This window comes from Homo sapiens, chromosome X, assembly GCF_000001405.40.
Source record: "Homo sapiens chromosome X, GRCh38.p14 Primary Assembly".
NCBI lineage: Eukaryota > Metazoa > Chordata > Mammalia > Primates > Hominidae > Homo > Homo sapiens.
The window spans coordinates 25,016,090-25,036,079 of NC_000023.11; the positions used below are offsets into that span (position 1 = coordinate 25,016,090).

Genomic DNA, 19,990 nt, shown 5'->3' on the forward strand with positions numbered 1-19,990 from the left:
CCAGAGGGGCAGGCGGGGGTGGGGGCAGCGGGCACGCACCAGAGCCAATTTTCCTTTTCTTTCTTTCTTTTTTTAAGTTACCAATTTTCTAAGTCCGCTATCCTCTTCCTGCAGCTCCTCCTTTGACCCTTTAGTGTTGGCCGAAGTTCTAGCTTATTGGGATGCCAGGCCTGTGAATGCCATCTGGGTGGCGTGCGCCCCTTCCACCAACCCGAGGACCTCGCTCCCTGGAGGCGAGGCCTCGAGGCTCACGTTCAGACTCACTCGGCACTTTTCAAAGCCGATATTGGGCTCCCAGGACACCGCCTTGACCTCCCTGGCGCTCAATTGCCGTCCTCTCTAGGCCGGACGGGCGTCGGGGGGCCAGGGTGACCGCCCCAAGCAAACATCTGCCGTCTGGGAGTTCGCTTTTCTCTTGCGGCCCAAGGCATTGCGCTGTCTATCTTCACCCTGAGCCCGACTGTGTCTCTCTTGTTTGTAGCGTCCCCCAACCGCTCTCCTCTCCGTTTTAAACTCTGGAATGGGAAAAAGCCTCCTTACAGACAAAGCTCTGCCATAGGCGCGCGGCCTTCCCTAGAGCATTTACTGGGTGGGAAGGGACAGGCGAGTATCAGCAGCGAGGAGGGGCGACTGGGGACGAGTCTGGGGGCCTCCTCTTTCTCCCTGGACTCTCTTCCCTCTTTCCCCCACAAATTCGTATCTGTTAGGCCTTCACCCTGAGGCTGTTCACCTTCCAATCGCAGCTAGGGAGCAGAACCCTCAGGGATCCCTGACCTCTCCAGGGTGGAAGGAACCCAAATTCGGCTGCAGCCAAATCTAAGCGTCTAAAATTCTGAATTCTCATGACCTGGCTCCCTTGAGCAAAGGTGAGAGAGTGAACCTTAGAGAGAGCGCCTTTCTTCCCAAACAGTTTCCAGCGCCGAGAACTAAAACCCAACTCCAACTGATGTTGGGTCGAGCCTGGGCCAGCACGGACGCCTTCCCTGCCTGGGTGCAGGTTCCCAGGGATTTCCAGGGGCCCCAACGCTGGCAGAATTGGGGCGAAGGTGGTGGGTGAGAGAGGGGCCAGGGAGGGGGAATCCACGCCGGGTTTTCCTCTCTCAACTCCCTTCAATGTGTCAAAGAGAAAAGCATTTTACAAAGGATTATACTTGAATCACTTACAGTCAGTATTTAAAAATACAAGGATGCATAACTGGGATTTTTTTTTTTCAGCCATAAACATCTGCATAACTCTTGGATGCTGGTGGGTGGGTAGCAGACAGATCGGGCTGCCTCCGCAGGAAACTTCAAGACAAAACTGGGGGGAGGGGATGAAGGGTTGGGAACAGGCACATTAATAATGCGAATACTAATACTGATACTACTACTACTATTAAAGACAGGACAAAAAGAATTCCTCTGTCCCTCTCTCTCTCTCTCTCTGGCTTTTAGCTTAATTCTCATCCGTTTTTTTCTGCACTTGGATGATAGGGCGGGCTGTGGTGGGGAGCGGAGGAGAACCCGAGCCATCGCTGACATTTGATTTTCCTTTAAGCCCTCTCTGCGATTCAAAGTCACCTGGGATCTCTCCTTGCCTTTCCCGCATTCTTCCTTTTCCATCCCCACCAAGAGTTCGGTGTTTTTACACCGTCCGGTTCAGCTTTAAACTAACATTCTGCGCGCTGATTTCCTCCCACATTCCCTCCCCCGGCCCCGAAAGCCCATTCCAGGCGCGCGGGTCTCATCGCAGCCAAGAGGAGTAAAGACACTTCGGTTTCCTCCTAGCCTCCAGCCGCGGACCCTCGCGGGCGTCCCTGCGGCTTGGTGGTTGGGAGAGACGGAGGCACTTTTCCCTCCCCGGCGGGCCCCGCGTTGGAAATCCACAAGACCCGGCTGCCGGGTGGCTCAGTGACTTCAGAGTCGGCTCCGCACACGCAGGGAGTGGGCTGAAAATGAGTCCAAGAAAGATCGTGTTAAACAAAAACACAAATGCACAAATCATTTCTGAGAGCCCAACGGAGTTTCAGCTCTCTGGGTGGAAGACTTCTTTGCCTCCATCCCCCCTCCTCCCCCTTGTGCAGCTGTTCTTCTTTTAAAAGAAGTCGGACTTTCTGCTGGGGTGTATTCTAATTTTAATCATCCACTGTAAAAGGGGAGGTTAACAAAGAATTTCTGATTCTGACTTAATGATCCCTGGAATTAGATCTAATTCTATTAATGGAATATAAAGTGTTTTCGGGGGAGACCTGTGTGAAAACACTAGTTTTATTTGTTCTGTTATTTTATTTATTTTTGTTATTTTCTAATCAATCTTCCCAAGTGAGGATGCTATTGGGAAACACGTCCATTCACCTCGGGGAGAAGGGCCTGACCTAGCTCACTCTACACCCAGTGGCCCTGAGACCACCTTTGTCACAATCCAATACCCAACTTCAAAAATCTACAATTAACTTTTGCTATTTCTAAGAGATTAAATTTAAAAAATTACAGAAAACTTTTCTAAGGTGCTGGGTAGAGAGACATAAGACTGTGCTGTGGTCTCCACAATGCCTAATCAGGATATGGGATTATATATATATATATATATATATAAAATATGTTATTCTATATATCATTTTAGAAACAAAATTATGCGTCTAATATCTAGGAAGAGGGTAACTGATGTGTTGAGTGGGCAGACTTTTAAGAATTGGGCTATAGGATTACGTATGAAAGAACTTACAGTTTAGCCCAATTTAATTTTACTTTGCCAGGAAAACGACACTTCACTTTCTTTTTGCCTCACTTTTACTCACTAATCAAAAGTAATTGCATTTTAGTGATAATATCATTCTTGTTTGTACTTTGTTATTCACAAGTCCTGGCTCCTCTAATCTTTGGGGTCTGTAGCTGTTGGTTTGCTTTTCCTGGTCTGCTTGGAAAACAATGGTTTGCAGTTTATCTGCTTTTAAAATCAATCACTAAATAAAAATGACAATAATGGCTGGAAGTGAAGGTCACATGTGTTTAGAACTGTTGTTTATGGTGAAAAATGGGGCTTGTTCCTAGAACTGGAAATAATAATTTACCTAGAAGAGGAGAGTGGAAGGAGAAACCCCTTTCTTTTCTGAGAGCTAATTCTACATTATAGTTTTAAAATTACATTTGCAAGAAATGTGGAATAAGGGGGGGTGGCAGTTAGATGTCATTATCCAGAAAAAAAAAATGTTTGGAAGAGAGTTAACCTCACATACTTTTCATTTGAGATGTTTTAATTTATTGTGCAATATACACATAGATAAATCAAGCTGTGATGGGCTTCCAGTTGCACCGGACGGCTCAGGTCCCCTTAAATTACGATCAGCCTCTTCAAAACATATATTTAAACAATAGAAATAAACTTCATTGGAATCTAGCGACCAATTTGGAAGCCACTGGAAGAGAAGACAATAAGACCTGATTACACGCAAGGATTCTCTGTGATGTGATATCCCTTTTGCCAAGTCATTTTGCTGTTTTATTTATTTAATTTCTTTTTTTTTTTTAAACAAACTTTCATTCATTTATGGTCTTCCGCAACCTGCTAATTTAACACTGGAGCGCGTTATTGCAGTGTTAGGAGGAGAGAAAGAGAGAGAGAAAACAACAATACTGCAATGATCCAAATGATACAGTAGAATTATAGCAATTATAGTTCTACTTGTGGAAGAAAACCTTGCTGAGATCAGGCAAACAAACTGAAGCCTTGTGAGGATAACAAGCGTCGGGATTGACAGCCGGTGCTGGGAAGAGCCGGAGGGCACAAACAGAAATATTTGCTTCCCCCCACCCCCCCTTAACTCCAACCAGTCAAGGTTAACCTCCTCAAACGCTGCTTTCAGAGTCTTATCCACTTCAGGGTATGCATTTTATGCACAAATCGAGGTGTCTCCTCCTGGAAGTCTGGTAATAGGAGGAAGTGTAACATAATCCGCTTGCCTAGAACTTGCCCCTCGCCTTCTTGGCCTCCTGCGTGCTCTCCACTTCCTACCCTGCCTCAGTTCTCCCCACGGCTGTTGGGATCTCTCTGTGGACGGTGTTTATTTGTTGATGTATTTTCAAAGAAACAGCCCGTGGAAAGGTCCAAAGGGACTGATAGAACTTGGATTTCCTGGGAAGACTCTGTCGCGTTTGCTAATCCTTCCCTCTTCGCCGTGTCCTCCTCCTAAGCCGTGGGTTCCACAGTTAGGGCTTGGCTGGGAGAGGTTTGTTGGGAAGCAGCTTTTTTGGAAGCCTCCCGAGGACCACGGCCGAGCCCTCAAGGTATGGACGCGTGAGTGTGATGGCTATGTTAGGACAACTCCCCTTATTTGCAAACTTCCTCACTTTCTGTTGCCCGTCAGCAGCCGGGGGAGGGGGTGGGGGAGCAAGAACTAGAGAGGAAAGAGACCCCCTCACCGCCACCACCATCAGCCATCCGGGCGGCAGCCGAGGCTTTTTCAAGCTTTGCTCCAAGCATAAAGCTGGACGAGATGGTCGCAGCCTCCTGTCTGCTCTCAGAAGAGGGGGTGTGTGTCCCCTCCCACGGGCGAGAAGCAGGTGGTTGGGCTCTGAGCTCTCACGGAGTTCCTTGGCGGGAGTTCCCCATCTCCTGCCGCACCCATCCCTCCAGGTTTCCAGACCTGAGAGAGAGGGAAACTTTACTGTGCCCTGTAATCACCACCATCTGCTTTCTCCTCTCCTCCGCCGGACGGCGGGACCCCGCCTGCGGCCAGGGTCGAGGCGTCCCCGGTGCAGCGTTGACTCAGTAGCTGCTGCTCCGGGCGACCCTGGACGGGGTGGAGGGTGGGGACGGGTGGGCACAGATTGGAGCTAGAGTAAGATGCAGCGGGCTACCCAACGCGTGTGTCAATTCCCAGGCCGCGCGGACCGGAGCTGGGCTGTCGGCGTCCGCACCCCCAGCCTCCCCACCTCAGCCCCCTTTTCGGGCTCGGCTCAGCGCCACGGCCAGAGCGCGCCCCCTAGCGGGGGCTCCGAGTGGGCCGGGCTCTCCTGCCGCAACCTCTGGGGACTGAAGTTGGCAGAGCCCAGTGATCCGGCAGGAATGAATGGGGGAAAAAAACAAAAGCCTTGGAAACATTTCCAAGTGTTCAATAAAAGACCCATCTGTACCTTTCTTCTCCAGCGCGTTCGTGGTTAATGTCCCCCCATGCGCGCGAGAAGGGAGATAATTGCTGGGTGGATTCTTGTCGGCGAACCTCGGGAAACGCTGGACTGAGAAGTGAAATAATTGGGGGTGGGGCCAAGGCAAGCGTGCCGAGGATGCGACACCAGTCAGGAAGTCTGAATCTGCAGTCTCTGGGGTGTTCATGGAGGCCTGGCGGCCTGAGCCCTTAGATTCCTCAGTGCCTGGTGTTGGTGGTGGTGGTGGAGGATCGTCCGAAGGCAGCTACTCTGAGATTTCTCTGATTTGACATCGGCCTCTGTGGTACCTTCATATCACTCATGGTCCCCTCCTATCTTCTGATTTGAGAATACCCCACTCTGTGATTCTAAGTTCCCTGAGCTCAGATTTTGGGGCTCCCATCTTCTGAAGCTAGGAGTGTCCACTTTTTGACTAGATGATCCCCTACCTCCCGTCTCTGGGATTTCTCCATCTTCTGACTTGATGGACTTCTGGGCCACCACCCTGCTCCATCTCCCCCCAGGCATCCTCCTCTCCCACTCCTTTCACTTCTCCTGCAACATTTGCCTCTGGAAATCCTCAAATCCCAGCTTCCACTACTTCCACTACTCATACATTACCTACTCCCTCTTGGTCTGGCCAGAAATTGAGAAAAGAGAAATGCAGGGTTCTTGTCCAACCCTCTTTGACTTGTTCAACCTGGAAATAACTGAATTTTCTTGAAGCCCTTACAACCTCTGGTTTAAAAAAAAAAAGTTAAAGACGAAGCTTTTACAAATGTAAAAAATTCCCAGTTCAAATCGATCCATAACTTACTTCTTTTGCACCGAGTGTGTCAATCTGAACTCATCAATCAGAAAAACAGAAATCGTGCTTCTAAAGACCTGCAGGATTTTAAAGTTATACCAAGGCCACCAAAACACTTACTAGGTAGGGCCTAGAAAGGAAGAATCCAAAAATAGTAGCGACAACAGCTCCCAGAGTCCCTTATTTTGCGATGTGTCTTGCTAATTGGGAAGTTCAACACGAGGCTTTCCCTGCCCATACAAGGCTGGTATTTCAGAGCGGGAGGAGCAGATGGAAGGGGTCCTGTGGGAAGGGAGGTGTGGGTGTCCCTGTGTTTAATTAAGAGTTGTATTGTGTGGAAGGGAGGAGGAAAGATGCCGGGCTGCACAGCCCTCTGTTCCCTTCATCGCAAAATAACCTGCAAGTGAAAAAAAAAAAGAAAGAAAGAAAGAAAAAGAAAAAAAAAAAAAAGCCCGCTACTAAGACGGAGCCGGCTCTGGAATAGATACCATTAGAACCACAGTGTTTCTGGAATAAAGATATCTAATTTCCTGCCGCAAATCACTTCCCCGATCAGAAAACACAAATAGCTGAACAGAAGGGGGAAAAAATAGAGGACTCCTCCAAACCCGGGGCAGTGCTATCCTCCTCCCAACCACCCCCACTCTGCTCCCGACTTTCCAGCCCACCCGGGATCCCTTTTGAGGACACCCAGCATCTTTGAGGGAAGGGAGACGGCTCCCAGGCTGAGGTTGGGACAGCGACGGTGGCGGAGAACTGGGGCACTCACGGCCTAGGGGCCTCGTGGGGCCGCTGAGGCCGGGCCTGTTCGGCACCGACGGCGTCACCTCCTCTTCTAACCGGTCACCCCGGGCAGGGCCCTCCTCAGGGCACCGCTTGCCCGAGGCGGCCTCGGTTTCCCTGTCTGGAAGGAGGTGCAGGAGCCCGGGGGCAGGGGAGCTCCGGGCGCCCTGCTGGGGCCGCGCTACTTGGGGGCGTTGCGGCGGCGGCCCCGACGCCCCTTGTCAAATCGCCTCCAGGGTCTCGGGGACCCGGTGAACAAAGCCAAGACCCGACCCCCGGTGGCCCCAATGGCGCGGGTGAATGAGGACGCTGGACTTAGGGGCGCCCGCGAGAGGGCGCAGGCTGGGAGGGCCTGGGAGGAGAGGCGCCGGGCTCCGCGTGGGGCTCGTGACCGAGGGGCCCCCAGGACGCACAGACTCGATCGCGCCTCGAAAATGACCGTGGTGGTAGCAGGTGCAGGCGGAGAGTGGAGGCAGAAGGAGTGGGAGGAGGAGAGCAAATACATCTACTCAGATGCTAATGCACAGAAAGTGAGCCTTAGCTGTTTTTTCTTTGGAGATTAAATGAAATCTCAAACGGATTTGTTTTTGAGTAGGAAATTGTAGATTTCTCACAATCGCATGAAATTTTGTGTTGCACGCCTCTAATCAACATCACATTCTTTGCCCCCACTTTAGGCTTTGCAGGTCTTAGTACAGTTCTGGTACCCAGGAACATCTTTCCCGAACCAGAAAATTGCACTGTGGCTGTGGGAGTGTAGTAGGTACTTTTATTTGGGCAAATGGCACTTGATGTTTCATCCTCATGAGGTGGGCGCTGATTGATCTTTTCCCTTATTTAACCAGGCCTCATTCTTTTCCCTCAATTCTCCCATTACTGCTGTTGGGGCCATTTCATTGTTCATTACTCCTACGGTTTAAGGCTTGCAAGGGACTAAAAAGAAATTAAAAGCAACGTATTTTGCTTAGAGAATCCCAGAAAGGCTGGAAAGAAAGGCGATTGAAACCCACGGTTCAAGTGAAGTTTAGACATAGGAGTGATTTTTACATATTTCTTTTTCATGGATAATAGGGAGTTGGCGTTATCTGTCACTGTACGTTCTACCTAATAAATAGCTGCAAGACTATAATCTAACAGGTGTAAAATTTCCCTTTTCTGACAAATGAAGAGACCACCAACACTATCTTAAACAGTACAAATAGAAAATGCTGTTGTTGACAATCTTTCACACTATGGAGTCAATTCTAAGCTAGCTTGCTTTCTCTTTCTTTTCTCTTTCTTTCTTTCTTTCTCTCTTTCTTTCTTCTTCCTTCCTTCCTTTCTTCCTTCCTTCCTTCCTTGCTTGCTTCCTTCCTTCCTTCCTTCCTCATGCAGGCCTGGCTTTTGGGGTGTGTACCCCACACAGAGAGTTATAAACAAAGATAGGCTGATTTAATTTCTGCCCTCCCCCCCAACACAACCTGCAAAAATATCGAGGAGGGGCTTTTTACTCTCTGCCAACTGCAAAAGGGACTGATCATCAGAGAAAATGCCTGTCCTTTCTTTCACTCATTTCTCTTGATCTCCTCCAAAAATATGGCCTATTTAGTTATTAGGCATCACAGATTGGGAAAAGAAAAAGAAGCAGAGAGGGCTGTCCCAAGGCTCCATTCCCTAGGAGGTCCCACTTCCATCTGGCATATGTTGAGTCCTCCTGTTTTCCTCTCAAAGGGAGCCTTGTTTATGGAGGTTTTCTCTGCATTCATTTGTTCCCAGCCATCTCTTCAACAGCTGTCCCCCCACCTTCCCAGGATCCCATTGGTCAGGCTTCGCTCCCACTGCATGGAATGCAAAAATATCTCACCCAGAAATGTCTTGTCAAAGACAGAGAGGGAAACCGGCCCAGGCAATGCTGCCCTTGCATGTCATCATGGACCAATTCTTACCTGTTTCTCCTCACCCTCTTTCTCTCTTCTTCAGCTTCTGGGTTGAAGCATTTTGATGTTATTTATACGAAGGAAATGACATTAGAGTAACCTTTTTATTGCATTACACTAAAAGGAGATTGAACTATAACTTTGAAAATTGTGACATTCCAATGAGAGCTATATTAAATTGCTTAAAAACATTTCGAAGGCATCATTGGTATTGTCTGTAGTGGTAAGTGAAACAAAGGATTTCACAGCATGTCGGGTTTAATACAAACTATGCTCACATTTAAGTCTTTAAGCTATTAAATAGAAGAGAGGAGAAAGGGGATGGTGAAATAGTATCAGAGGGGGATGGAAGAGAGAGACAGAAGATGCCTAAGAGAAGACAATCCTGAGAATAAAAGGTGGCACAGACTGAGTGCTTACTCTTTGCCAGTACTTAAAATGTGTTTCCTGGCCAGGTGTGGTGGCTCAGGCCTGTAATCCCAGCACTTTGGGAGGCCAAGGTGGGCGGATCACTTGAGGTCAGGAGTTTGAGACCAGCCTGGTCAACATGGTGAAACCTTGTCTCTACTAAAAATACAAAAAAATGAGCCAGGCATTGTGGCACGCACCTGTAATCCCAGCTACTCAGGAGGCTGAGGTGGGAGAATTGCTTGAACCCAGGAGGCAGACGTTGCAGTGAGCTGAGATCGTGCCACTGCACTCCAGCTTGGGTGATACAGCAAGACTCTATCTCAAAAAAAAAAATGTTTCCTTCATATAAAGAACACCAAAATGCTAGACGGCTGCTCTAAGTGCTTTTCACACGGATCAACGAATCCTCCAGACAATCATATAGCGATGGTTCTATTAGAATCCCTCTTTTACAGATGAGAAAACCGAGGCACAGAGAGGGTGTCCAATTCAGCCTGGTTTTCCCAGGATTTGCCTGGGTTTCCAGGTGAAAGTCCTGTATCCTGGGAAATCCCTCAATCCCAGGCAAACTGCGATGGTTGCTCACCTGAGGCACAGGGAGAAGTAGTTTGCCCAAGGTCGGAGAGGTGGAGCCAGGATGGGAATGAGCTAGGCAGTCTGACTCTGGAATCTGCTGCTCTTATCCTCTGTAAATCTCACCCATTTTTACAGAATGAGTAACTTGGGGCATTAGAGAGAGATGAACTGACTTGTCCACAGTCACAGAGCTTGCTAGTAGTGGGTGGATGACTAAAATTTGGGACTAACAAATCACACCTCCTTTCTACTTTCAGCTACCTTCTGAAAGAGGTTTTGTAGAAAAGAAAGCAGCTTTAAAAAAATCTTAGAAGTAAGGAGCTAAATAAATAAACACATCCAAGAAAAAGACATCTACCATATTGAGAAACATCACGACCTGGCAGTATTAGAATATGTAGCAAAAGGAGGTCACCTATATTGTAAACACAATTTATAATGAAAGACAATTTCAAAATTGCAATAAGTACACAAAGAAAATAATTATATGGCACATGTGGCCATTAGGCAGGGAACATTTTAACTCCCTAAAGCATTTGGTGTATTGTTCTGATTCCATTATTGTTCACTAATGATGGTCATTGTTCCACCTCACGTCATCCTCAAAACTGGCAGCCCCCTGCAGTGGACATTGTTTCCAAACAGCTTCTCTAGGACCTTTCGGACAAACCTGCAAGAACTGATGATGTTCTGCGCATGGAGTTGGTAAGCAGGTTGTAGCTGGGCATTGGCCGGGAAAGAAGGCATTCTCACTTGGAACACAGCTCATTGTAAAAATGCAGTTTGACATCAATAAAAATAATCACTATTTGTTGTATTTCTTATAATTATAGGTCATCTCTTGGTGAGGCTCTGCAGTTCGTAAAGTGGCGATTTGGCCTCTGTCATGCTGATGCTGGAGGCAGCCAGGCCCCAGAGCCTCTCCTGGCGGGCATCCTGAATGCCAGAAGCTTAGGCACAACTTCAGGGAAGAAAACATTTTGGAAATGACGAGAAAACTGTGAGGGAGTTGCAACTGTAAACAGCAAATGTGCTAAAGACCAGAGACTTATGCAGAGCTAAAAGAGGGCAGGTGGAGCTGTTCTCAGTTTTTTACATGTGAAGAAAACATTGGGCTGACTCCATTCTGGTTCCGCAGAGCTAAAATGTGCCTTGATGACTGTTGTTGTTTTATTTAACACAAGCACCCGGGGCTGCGTGAGGATCAGGGCTTGATGAGCCAAAGGATTCTGAGAAAAAAGGTGAACAGCTGTGGTTCTTGTCAAACACAAACTCTTAATCGTTGCTTAATCATTCCCCCATATTAGACATTTGTGTTATTTTAATTGTTTGCTATCGCAAATAGCATTGTAATGAAAACCTTTGGGCACCTAACTTATTCTTTTGCATTATTTCCTTTACATAATTTCCTGAGAGTGGGATTACTGATTAAAGCGTATGAACATTTTAGTCTCTTGAAATATTGCCAAAATGTCTCCAACTGGTTGAACCAATTGACACTACCTTTACATGAATGTACCAATTTTGCTACAACCTTGCCAGCATTATGTATTACAGCTTCCCCCTGCCACCCCCGCCTCAAAATATGGTGATTTAAAAAACTCTATACTTGACTCTAGTTCTCCTAACTCTATGCTCGGTATCTTCCCCCTCACTCCAGCATCTCTATCTCTTGCCTGTCTGAATGGCTTGAACTAAGACGACAAGAATACATGAGAAGAAAGGTAATCCTGGCCGGGCACGGTGGCTCACACCTGTAAGGCGGGTGGATCACCTGAGGTCAGGAGTTCGAGACCAGCCTGGTTAACATGGTGAAACCCCATCTCTACTAAAAAAATACAAACAATTAGCCAGGTGTGGTGGCGGGCGCCTTGATTCCAGCTACTCGGGAGGCTGAGGCAGGAGAATCACTTGAACTTGGGAGGTGGAGTTTGCAGTGAGCCGAGATTGTGCCACTGCACTCCAGCCTGGGCAACAAGAGCAAAACTCCGTCTCAAAAAAAAAAAAAAAAAAAAAAAAGAAAGAAAGGTAATCCTAAAGCAGTGCACATCTGCCATGCTCGGCAAGGTTTGGAAGACATCTGTAACAGAATGTGCAGTATATGAGGCCCTGGGCTCTGGAATCAATGAGACAGGGCTTGGAGCCAATTCTTTCCACTTCTGGCTCTGTAGCCATGGGCAATCAAATTAACCTTCAGTTTCTTCACCTGAAAATTGAAGATGATAAAAGTACCTGCAGCACTGTGCTACACTATAGATGCTAAATAAAAGTCAGCTTATATTGTGTGACACATGAATACTGAAATGCACATTATTTTACATGCTTTTTTTTTTTTTTTTTTTGAGACAGAGTCTTGCTCTGTCACCCAGGCTGGAGTGCAGTGGTGTGATCTCAGCTCACTGCAACCTCCTCCTCCTGGGCTCAAGTGATTCTCCTACCTCAGCCTCTTGAGTAGCTGGGACTACAGGTGTGCCCCACCACACCCGGCTAATTTTTGTATTTTTAGTAGAGATGGGTTTCCACCATGTTGGCCAGTCTGGTCTTGAACTCCTGACCTCAAGTGATCCGCCCGGCTTGGCCTCCCAAAGTGCTGGGATTACAGGTGTGAGCCACAGCACCTGGCCTTATTGTACATATGTTTTTGAATGCTTGTATAATTATTTTTATGGAATATTGACTCAGGACTGGAATTGCTCCATTTAAAGGTATGTATGGTTTAAACTATAGATATTGACAAAATGTCCTTTAAAAAGACTATTTGACTTTGTACTTTGACAAACAACATTGATAGCTCTGGGTATTTTCAATCTTGTAAAATATTGTTAGTTTCATGAAGAACACCCAAGAGCTTATTATTATTATTATTATTATTTTAGACAGGGGATAACTCTGTCACCCAGGCTGGAGGGCAATGGTGCAATCATGGCTCACTGCAGCCTTGACCTCCTGGGCTCAGGTGATCTTCCCACCTCAGCGTCTGAAGTAGCTGGGACTACAGGCACATGCCACCACCCCCAGCTAATTCTTTGTATTTTTGTAGAGACGGGGTTTCGCCATGTTGCCCAGGCTGTTCTTAAACTCCTGAGCTCAAGCGATCTCCCCTCCTCCGCCTCCCAAAGTGTTGGGATTACAGGCATGAGCCACTGCACCTGGCAGAGCTTATTATTTTTATGTGCGTTTCTTTCATTATTAGTGAGGTCAAGTATTTTTTCATGTGACAATTGGCCAATTGTATTGCCTCTTCCATGACTCATCTGTTCTCAATTGCTTACTAATGTGCAAATTATTTTACCCACGGGTGCTATGTCTTAAAAGTTTGCTAGAGCTTTATAAAAAGCTGGCATGAGAATCACTGTGAGATTATCGTTAGTTTTACTCTGATTTCCTTTAGCTTCTAAGCATAATGGCCAGTGTTTATTTTCATGCGTTTTCATGAGTTTATTTCACAAGCTGAAAGACCACATTTCTTGGCCTCCCTTTCAGGAAGGAGTGGCCAATTTAACTAAATTCTGGAGAAGGACGCGTTTTGTGTGGTGTTTCCAGGAAGTCATCTTAAAAGAGAGGAGTTTTATAGACCAATGTCCCTCTCTTAGTCTTCTAGATGGTTTGTCTTGAAGGGATGTGAGACAAAGACTGCTAATTGCATCCAAATATCCATTCTTTTGGTGGTGGGTTAAAGAGACTGCAAATTTTGTGTCACTCCCGGCTGCTGCTGGTACTGGGGCCCGAGGAGGGATATGCCCGAGTGGGGCCGCCTGACCAAGGGAGCGACAAACATGACACCCGCCGACGCCTCAGCCGCTTGGGGCCTGCACGGACCCTCTGCTTCAGTGCAGAATGAACCAAGGAGACTCAAACCCAGCAGCTACTCCGCATGCGGCAGAAGACATTCAAGGAGATGACAGATGGATGTGTCAGCACAACAGATTTGTTTTGGACTGTAAAGACAAACAGCCTGATGTACCATTTGCGGGAGGCTCCGTGGTGCAGTTACTGCAGCCATATGAGATATGGCGAGAGCTTTTTTCCCCACTTCATGCACTGAATTTTGGAACTGGGGGAGATACAACAAGACATGTTTTGTGGAGACTAAAGAGCGGAGAACTGGGGAATACTAAGCCTAAGGTCATTGTTTTCTGGCTAGGAAGAAACAACCATGAAAATATGGCAGAAGAGGTAGCAGGTGGTATGGCGGCCATCGTACAACTTATCAACACAAGGCAGCCACAGGCCAAAATCATTGTATTTGATCTGTTACCTCAAGGTGAGAAACCCAACCCTTTGAGGCAAAAGAACGCCAAGGTGAACCCACTCGTCAAGATTTCGCTGCTGAAACTTAACCAACGTGCAGCTCCTGGATACTGACAGGGGTTTCGTGCACTCCGACCGTGCCATCTCCTGCCACGACATGTTTGATTTTCTGCATTTGACAGGAGGTGGCTACTCAAAGGTCTGCAAACCCTTGAATGAACTGATCATGCAGTTGTTGGAGGAAACACCTGAGGAGAAACAAACCACCATTGCCTGACTGGCTCCCATGAGTGTCAATAGCATCTCAGCTTCCTCAGATCAGTTATATCACCAGCACTCCAGAATCCTTCTCTTTCTTAAGGCACTTTGCATTGAAGAATGTTCCTGGATGTTCATATCTAGTGTTTGAAGGGGAGGAGGGGTTTAAACTGGTCCTGTACATAGAAAATTTGTTTGACAGAGGAGAAAAATTAGCCAAGGAAGATTGTTGTTTCAATTCATTTGAAACCAGAAGGGGACTTTTTAGTTGTATATGTAACATGTTCATTGAATTATTACTGCTTTCCTAGGACAACATCAAGCCTAAATACTGAACAACATGAAGATTCTTTTCTTGGCCTTTCTTGGATTACATTGTATATAATAATTCTTAGAATCATACCTACTTGGCTTTAAAACATTTTTTTTCCATTTTTTTAAGGTTCATAATTTAGTCTTTGGTTTTTATGTTGCTTAGATTCATATGCATATTGAATGTTTTCTTTTTCTTTCTTTTTTTTTTTTTAAGATGGAATCTTGCTCTGTCACCAGGCTGGAGTGCAGTGGCGCGATCTTGACTCACTGCAACCTCCGCCTCCCGGGTTCAAGCGATTCTTTGCCTCAGCCTCCCGAGTAGCTGGGACTACGGGCACCCACCACCACGCCTGGCTAATTTTTGTATTTTTAGCAGAGATGGGGTTTCAACATCTTGGTCAGGCTGCTCTCGAACTCCTGACCTCGTGATCCGCCCACCTCAGCCTCCCAAAGTGAGCTGCCGTGCCTGGCTGAATATTTTCTTAACATGCAGCATCAGGTTGAACATGCTTGTCATTCAAATATGGAAGATGCTATAGTTACAAGTGAATTTATTCTGCTTTCTTAATCTTTCCTGTCCTTAGCAGTGAGAAACAGGTTTTGCCCCAGTAGGGGGACTCTTTGGAGGGTATTATTTTTATGCTGCTGAATATCATGTCTATAATGGACCCGTGCATGCAGCCTTTCCTCCCGTTTCCCCATCATCCCCTCTTTTTTTTTTCTTTTTTTTGGTCCTTGTTGACATTACAAGCTTTTAACACATTTTCGACCTAGGAGCCCTGTTGCTGGAAGTATAGTCTCTAGCCAGCTACTCTTATGATAGTACTGCTATAAAATTCATTCTTGTGTGGTATTCTGTGCTATAGAGTCTGTGTATTGCTATTCATATTCGGAGTTCTGGTTTGTTTTGTTTTTCCCTTAAAACCTGTTACAGTTTTTTTTTTTTTTTTTTTTTGCTGGGTGGTTGGGGGGTAGGGAATCAGAACTCTGTTTCCCATTCCATATCACCTGACATTATTTCAAGTTTTATAATATCTTAGGTGTATATTCTATTTCATTTTATTTTATTTATTTATTTATTTTGAAATGGAGTCTTGCTCTGTCGCCCAGGCTGGGGTGCAGTGGCACGATTTCGGCTCACTGCAACCTCTGCCTCCCGGGTGCAAGCAATTCTCTTGCCTCAGCCTCCTGAGTAGCTGGGACTATAGGCGCCTGCCACCATGCCCAGCTAATTTTTGTACTTTTAGTACACACAGGGTTTCACCATGTTGGCCAGGCTGGTCTCAAACTCCTGACCTCAGGTGATCCACCTGCCTCGGCCTACCAAAGTGCTGGGATTACAGGCATGAGCCACCGCACCTGGCCTTTATATTTTATTTTTTTATTGGCTTAGTTTTTAATTTATTGTCCAAAAAATTTTGGGCCTTTTTCTATGGGGAAACAAGTGAAGCTGCTCTTCAGCATAGACTACCTTTATCCCATTATTTTACTAAAAAAGAACCAGGTTTGTTTCACTTCTAAGGTGTCTCATTAATGTACTTCATCTGAGAATTTGTTTTAAGAGCGCACTTTATAATCTTGATGTTTGCTTGAGCTGTAAGAACTGCCATTTCTAAAAAATAATGGGATAATAGATGGTTTATTCAGTATACCTAGTGAATATGTACAAACTGGATCTACAGATATTTTGAACTGGACCAGGTGGGTATTGAAGTAACCCATCAAAATATGCTCTGCAGTGATTCTGCTTAATGTTCTAATTCAGTAATGAATGTTTTATGTTCTACTGGAAAGGCAAATGGCAGTGCATTTGTGTGTTGGAGGAGGGGTTAGTGATTTGTGCTAAGACCCACTTCTGACTGTGAGGGATAGAACTTGGGCTCATTTTTTCTTTTCTTTTCTTTTTTCTTTTTTTTGAGACAGAGTCTCGCTCTGTCGCCCAGGCTGGAGTGCAGTGGTGTGATCTCGGCTCACTGCAAGCTCTGCATCCCTGGTTCACGCCATTCTCCTGCCTCAGCCTCCCAAGTAGCTGGGACTACAGGTGTCCACCACCATGCCTAGCTAATTTTTTGTATTTTTAGTGGAGACAGGGTTTCACCGTGTTAGCCAGGATGGTCTCAATCTCCTGACCTCGTGATCCACCCATCTCAGCCTCCCACAGTGCTGGGATTACAGGTGTCAGCCACCGCGCCTGGCCTAACTTGGGCTCATTTTTTCTTGTGAAGTCTCTTTCTATAATTTTTTTTTGTTTTATTCTTTTTTTAAAAAAATACTTTTTTTGAGCAACAGAGTGAGACTTCATCTCAAAAAAAATACTTTTTTGAATGTATCATGTCTTCATTAACAACAGAAAATCCACATGGTATTTACTAAACTTGTTTATGATATTAAAAATTTCCTTTTTATTTTTAGTAGCCCAGGTTATTGAGTTTTTCACTAGAGATTTTTTTTCTTAGCTGAGGTATAGTTGTATAGGAAGAAGAATTAAGTCAGATTTTTGTGTGTGGAAAGACAGTTTTCTTTTCTTTTCTTTTTTTTCTTTTTTTGAGACAAAGTTTCACTCTTGTCGCCCAGGCTGGAGTGCAATGGCACCATCTCAGCTCACTGCAACCTCTGCCTCCCTGGTTCAAGCAATTTTTGTGCCTCAGCCTCCCGAGTAGCTGGGATTACAGGTGCGTGCCACCAGCCTGGCTAATTTTTGTATTTTTAGTAGACACAGGGTTTTGCCATGTTGGTCAGGCTGATCTCAAACTCCTTACTTCAGGTGATCCACCCGCCTCGGCCTCCCAAAGTGCTAGGATTACAGGTGTGAGCCACCACGCCTGGCTGGAATGACAGTTTTCTATCCAGGTCTTTTTCTGTTTGTCAGAAGGTGGGAGTACGATCCAAACAAATCCATTAGGTTACTCCTGCAGCATGCACTTTTAGCTTCTCTCTTGAACTAGAATCCCATATCCCTGGCCTTCAGCTCCTTTGCTCATGTGTATAAACCTCAGATGTTACTACATTTTATATCTATCAGAGCTATTAAGCAATAGTATTTGAACCACTAGCCATTTAAATAAAATTCTGCCCCGTTACTCAGGTGCAGATATTGAGTTCACTTTCATTTTTTGCCAGACTTCTTTGCACTACTTTAAGCAAAAATAGTCAATCTATTTTTCTTTGATTGACATCCCAGTTTGCTTCAGTGACAGAACTTACTGCTTAGTCTTTGTACTTTAAAAGAAATCTATAAATTTAATGAACTGTCCAAGTGAAATGTCGTAGTTGTCATTGTGATTAAGGGGCCAACTTTCCAGGCAGCTAGCAGAGATACTATTCTCTTCCTCTCCCAGCACATTTTTATTCCTTCATCCACACATTCCTGCTACACTAGATGGCAGCCAATGATGGAACTATAAAGATGTCTGTGGTGGTATCTCAAATGTGGCAGCTTGAAGATAGACTGCCCAGGGTGACGTAGGGCAGGTTGTCTTCCAGTGCGTGTGTTCTAGATTGCCATAGACCATGCTGTGGCTACCACCCTGGGTCTACTTGGACTGTCAAGGGCATCTGCCTAAACCAGAATTTTTTGTCTGAAACCTTAGCCCAACAAAATAAATCTTGAGTAGCTCATGCCTGGCTCTTAGGAATTTTGTTTCTTTGTTTCTTTAAAAAAAAAAAAAAAAAAAAAAAAAGGCGGCCAGGCATGGTGGCTCACGCCTGTAATCCCAGCACTTTGGGTGGCCGAGGCGGGCAGATCATGAGGTCAGGAGTTTGAGACCAGCCTGGCCAACATGGTGAAACCCCATCACTACTAAAAATACAAAAATTAACTGGGCGTGGCGGTGGGCACCTGTAATCCCAGCTACTTGGGAGGCTGAGGCAGGAGAATCTCTTCAACCTAGGAGGCGGAGGTTGTAGTGAGCCGAGATAGCACCACTGCACTGCAGCCTGGGTGACAGAGCAAGACCACATCTTGGGGGGCGGGTGGGGGGTGGGGGGAGTCCAACTTACTTTATTTTTATTTTTATTTTTTTTAACCTAGTCACTGTTTACAGTTGTATGCTAAAGCCCAAAATATTGTCTGTGCTGTGGTGTATGAGCATTGCCAATTTTATATTTATTGCAGTGAAGAAGAAACTAAAAATATATGAAAATGAGGAGCTCATTTTCCAATGTCATTGGAAAATGTCCAAGCTCCTAAATCTGTGTGGGTGCATATGGCAGAAGTGAGTTGGGGGCCTCTTGAAAGGAGGCTTTTTGGAGAGGGGTCTCCCAGGCTTCTCCTTGGTGTTCCTGCTTGGGGATCACTGCTGCTAGCTGACTGGGCCTCCCCAGTGGAAGTTTGTGATTTTGCTTTGACAAAGTTTCATTGACTAGTAAAACTCATTCTGTTTTAGTGTATATTTCAATAGAAATGTAAACATTTTGCTCAAAAAAATATTTTGTGTCACTCCCCTCATAGAGAAGTGAAGTTTATTTCTCCTCCCCCTTGAATTTGGACTGGCCCTGTAACTGCTTTGACCGGTAGAGGGTGGTGAAGTGACACTTTGCCTAAGCTTTGAGAAGGCCTGGAAGATTCTGCTTTGTGGTTTTGGATGCTCAGTGGGAGAGAGGTCACATAGAGAGAATGTGTGGAGAGGAGAGGCCATGAGATCATAACAAGGAAGAGACAGGTCCAAGCATATCAGTTGACTGCCAACTGCGTGAGACCCCAAGTGAGGCCAGCGTAAGAACTGCCCAGCTGAGCCCACTCAACCCACAGATTTATGAAAGATAATAATATGGTTATTGCTGTATTATTTATTTTTGGTTGCTATCATTTTAAGCCACTAAGTTTTAGGGTGGTTTACTAGGCAGCAATAGATAACCAAAACACTCCCTATATCCTTTAGTACCCAAACCCTGATTTTTACCTGGGCATGTGCAGCTGAAAGACCACATTTTTGTGGCCTCCCTTTTGGGAAAGAGTGGCCAATTTAACTAATTCTGGAGAAGGACACGTTTTTTGTGGTGTTTCCAGGAAGTCATCTTAAAAGAGAGGAGTCAGGCCTTTGTCTGCATTCCTCAAATTTGCTGCCTGGAATAGATGTGATGGCTGGAGCCAGGAACCATGAAGACAAGAACCACATCCTAGGGATGGCAGAGTGGCTGGCTGGAAGGTACCTGGATCTCTGACAATCTTAGAGAGCTATCATACTCCAGCCCTGAACCTACTATTTCCACACATATTTTATAAGAAAGGGAAATATATCTCTTTTCTGATTGAAGCCATTGTTTTTTTGTTTTATTTTCTGTTCCTTGCAGCTGAACCTAATCCTCAGAGACATAGGACAAGACCAAATTCCATTATGAAGCATGTTGCCTTGCCTTTGCAAAAGGGGCTTATGTACAATAATTCATTTGTCTACTTTATGGGAACCCTGCATCTGGATAAAATGGTGAACAAAATCAGACATAGCCCCTAAGACATGATTAGCTTATAGTTAGTCAAATCATCACAGAACAAATGGAAAACTGTAACTGTCACAAGCCTTTGACAGACAAGCTCATGGTGTCAGCA

At 45.7% G+C, this 19,990-nt stretch overlaps 1 pseudogene, besides 1 other annotated feature; it reads left to right on the forward strand.

The window, feature by feature from the left end:
* Window positions 4,503-5,081: an enhancer, noted in NCBI's record as "H3K4me1 hESC enhancer chrX:25038709-25039287 (GRCh37/hg19 assembly coordinates)". NCBI's record gives its function as "activates a minimal SCP1, AML or CMV promoter by ChIP-STARR-seq in naive H9 embryonic stem cells {active_cell/tissue: H9 hESC(naive)}" and the evidence as "EXISTENCE:reporter gene assay evidence [ECO:0000049][PMID:30033119]".
* Window positions 13,324-13,887, forward strand: PAFAH1B2P1 (PAFAH1B2 pseudogene 1; annotated as a pseudogene).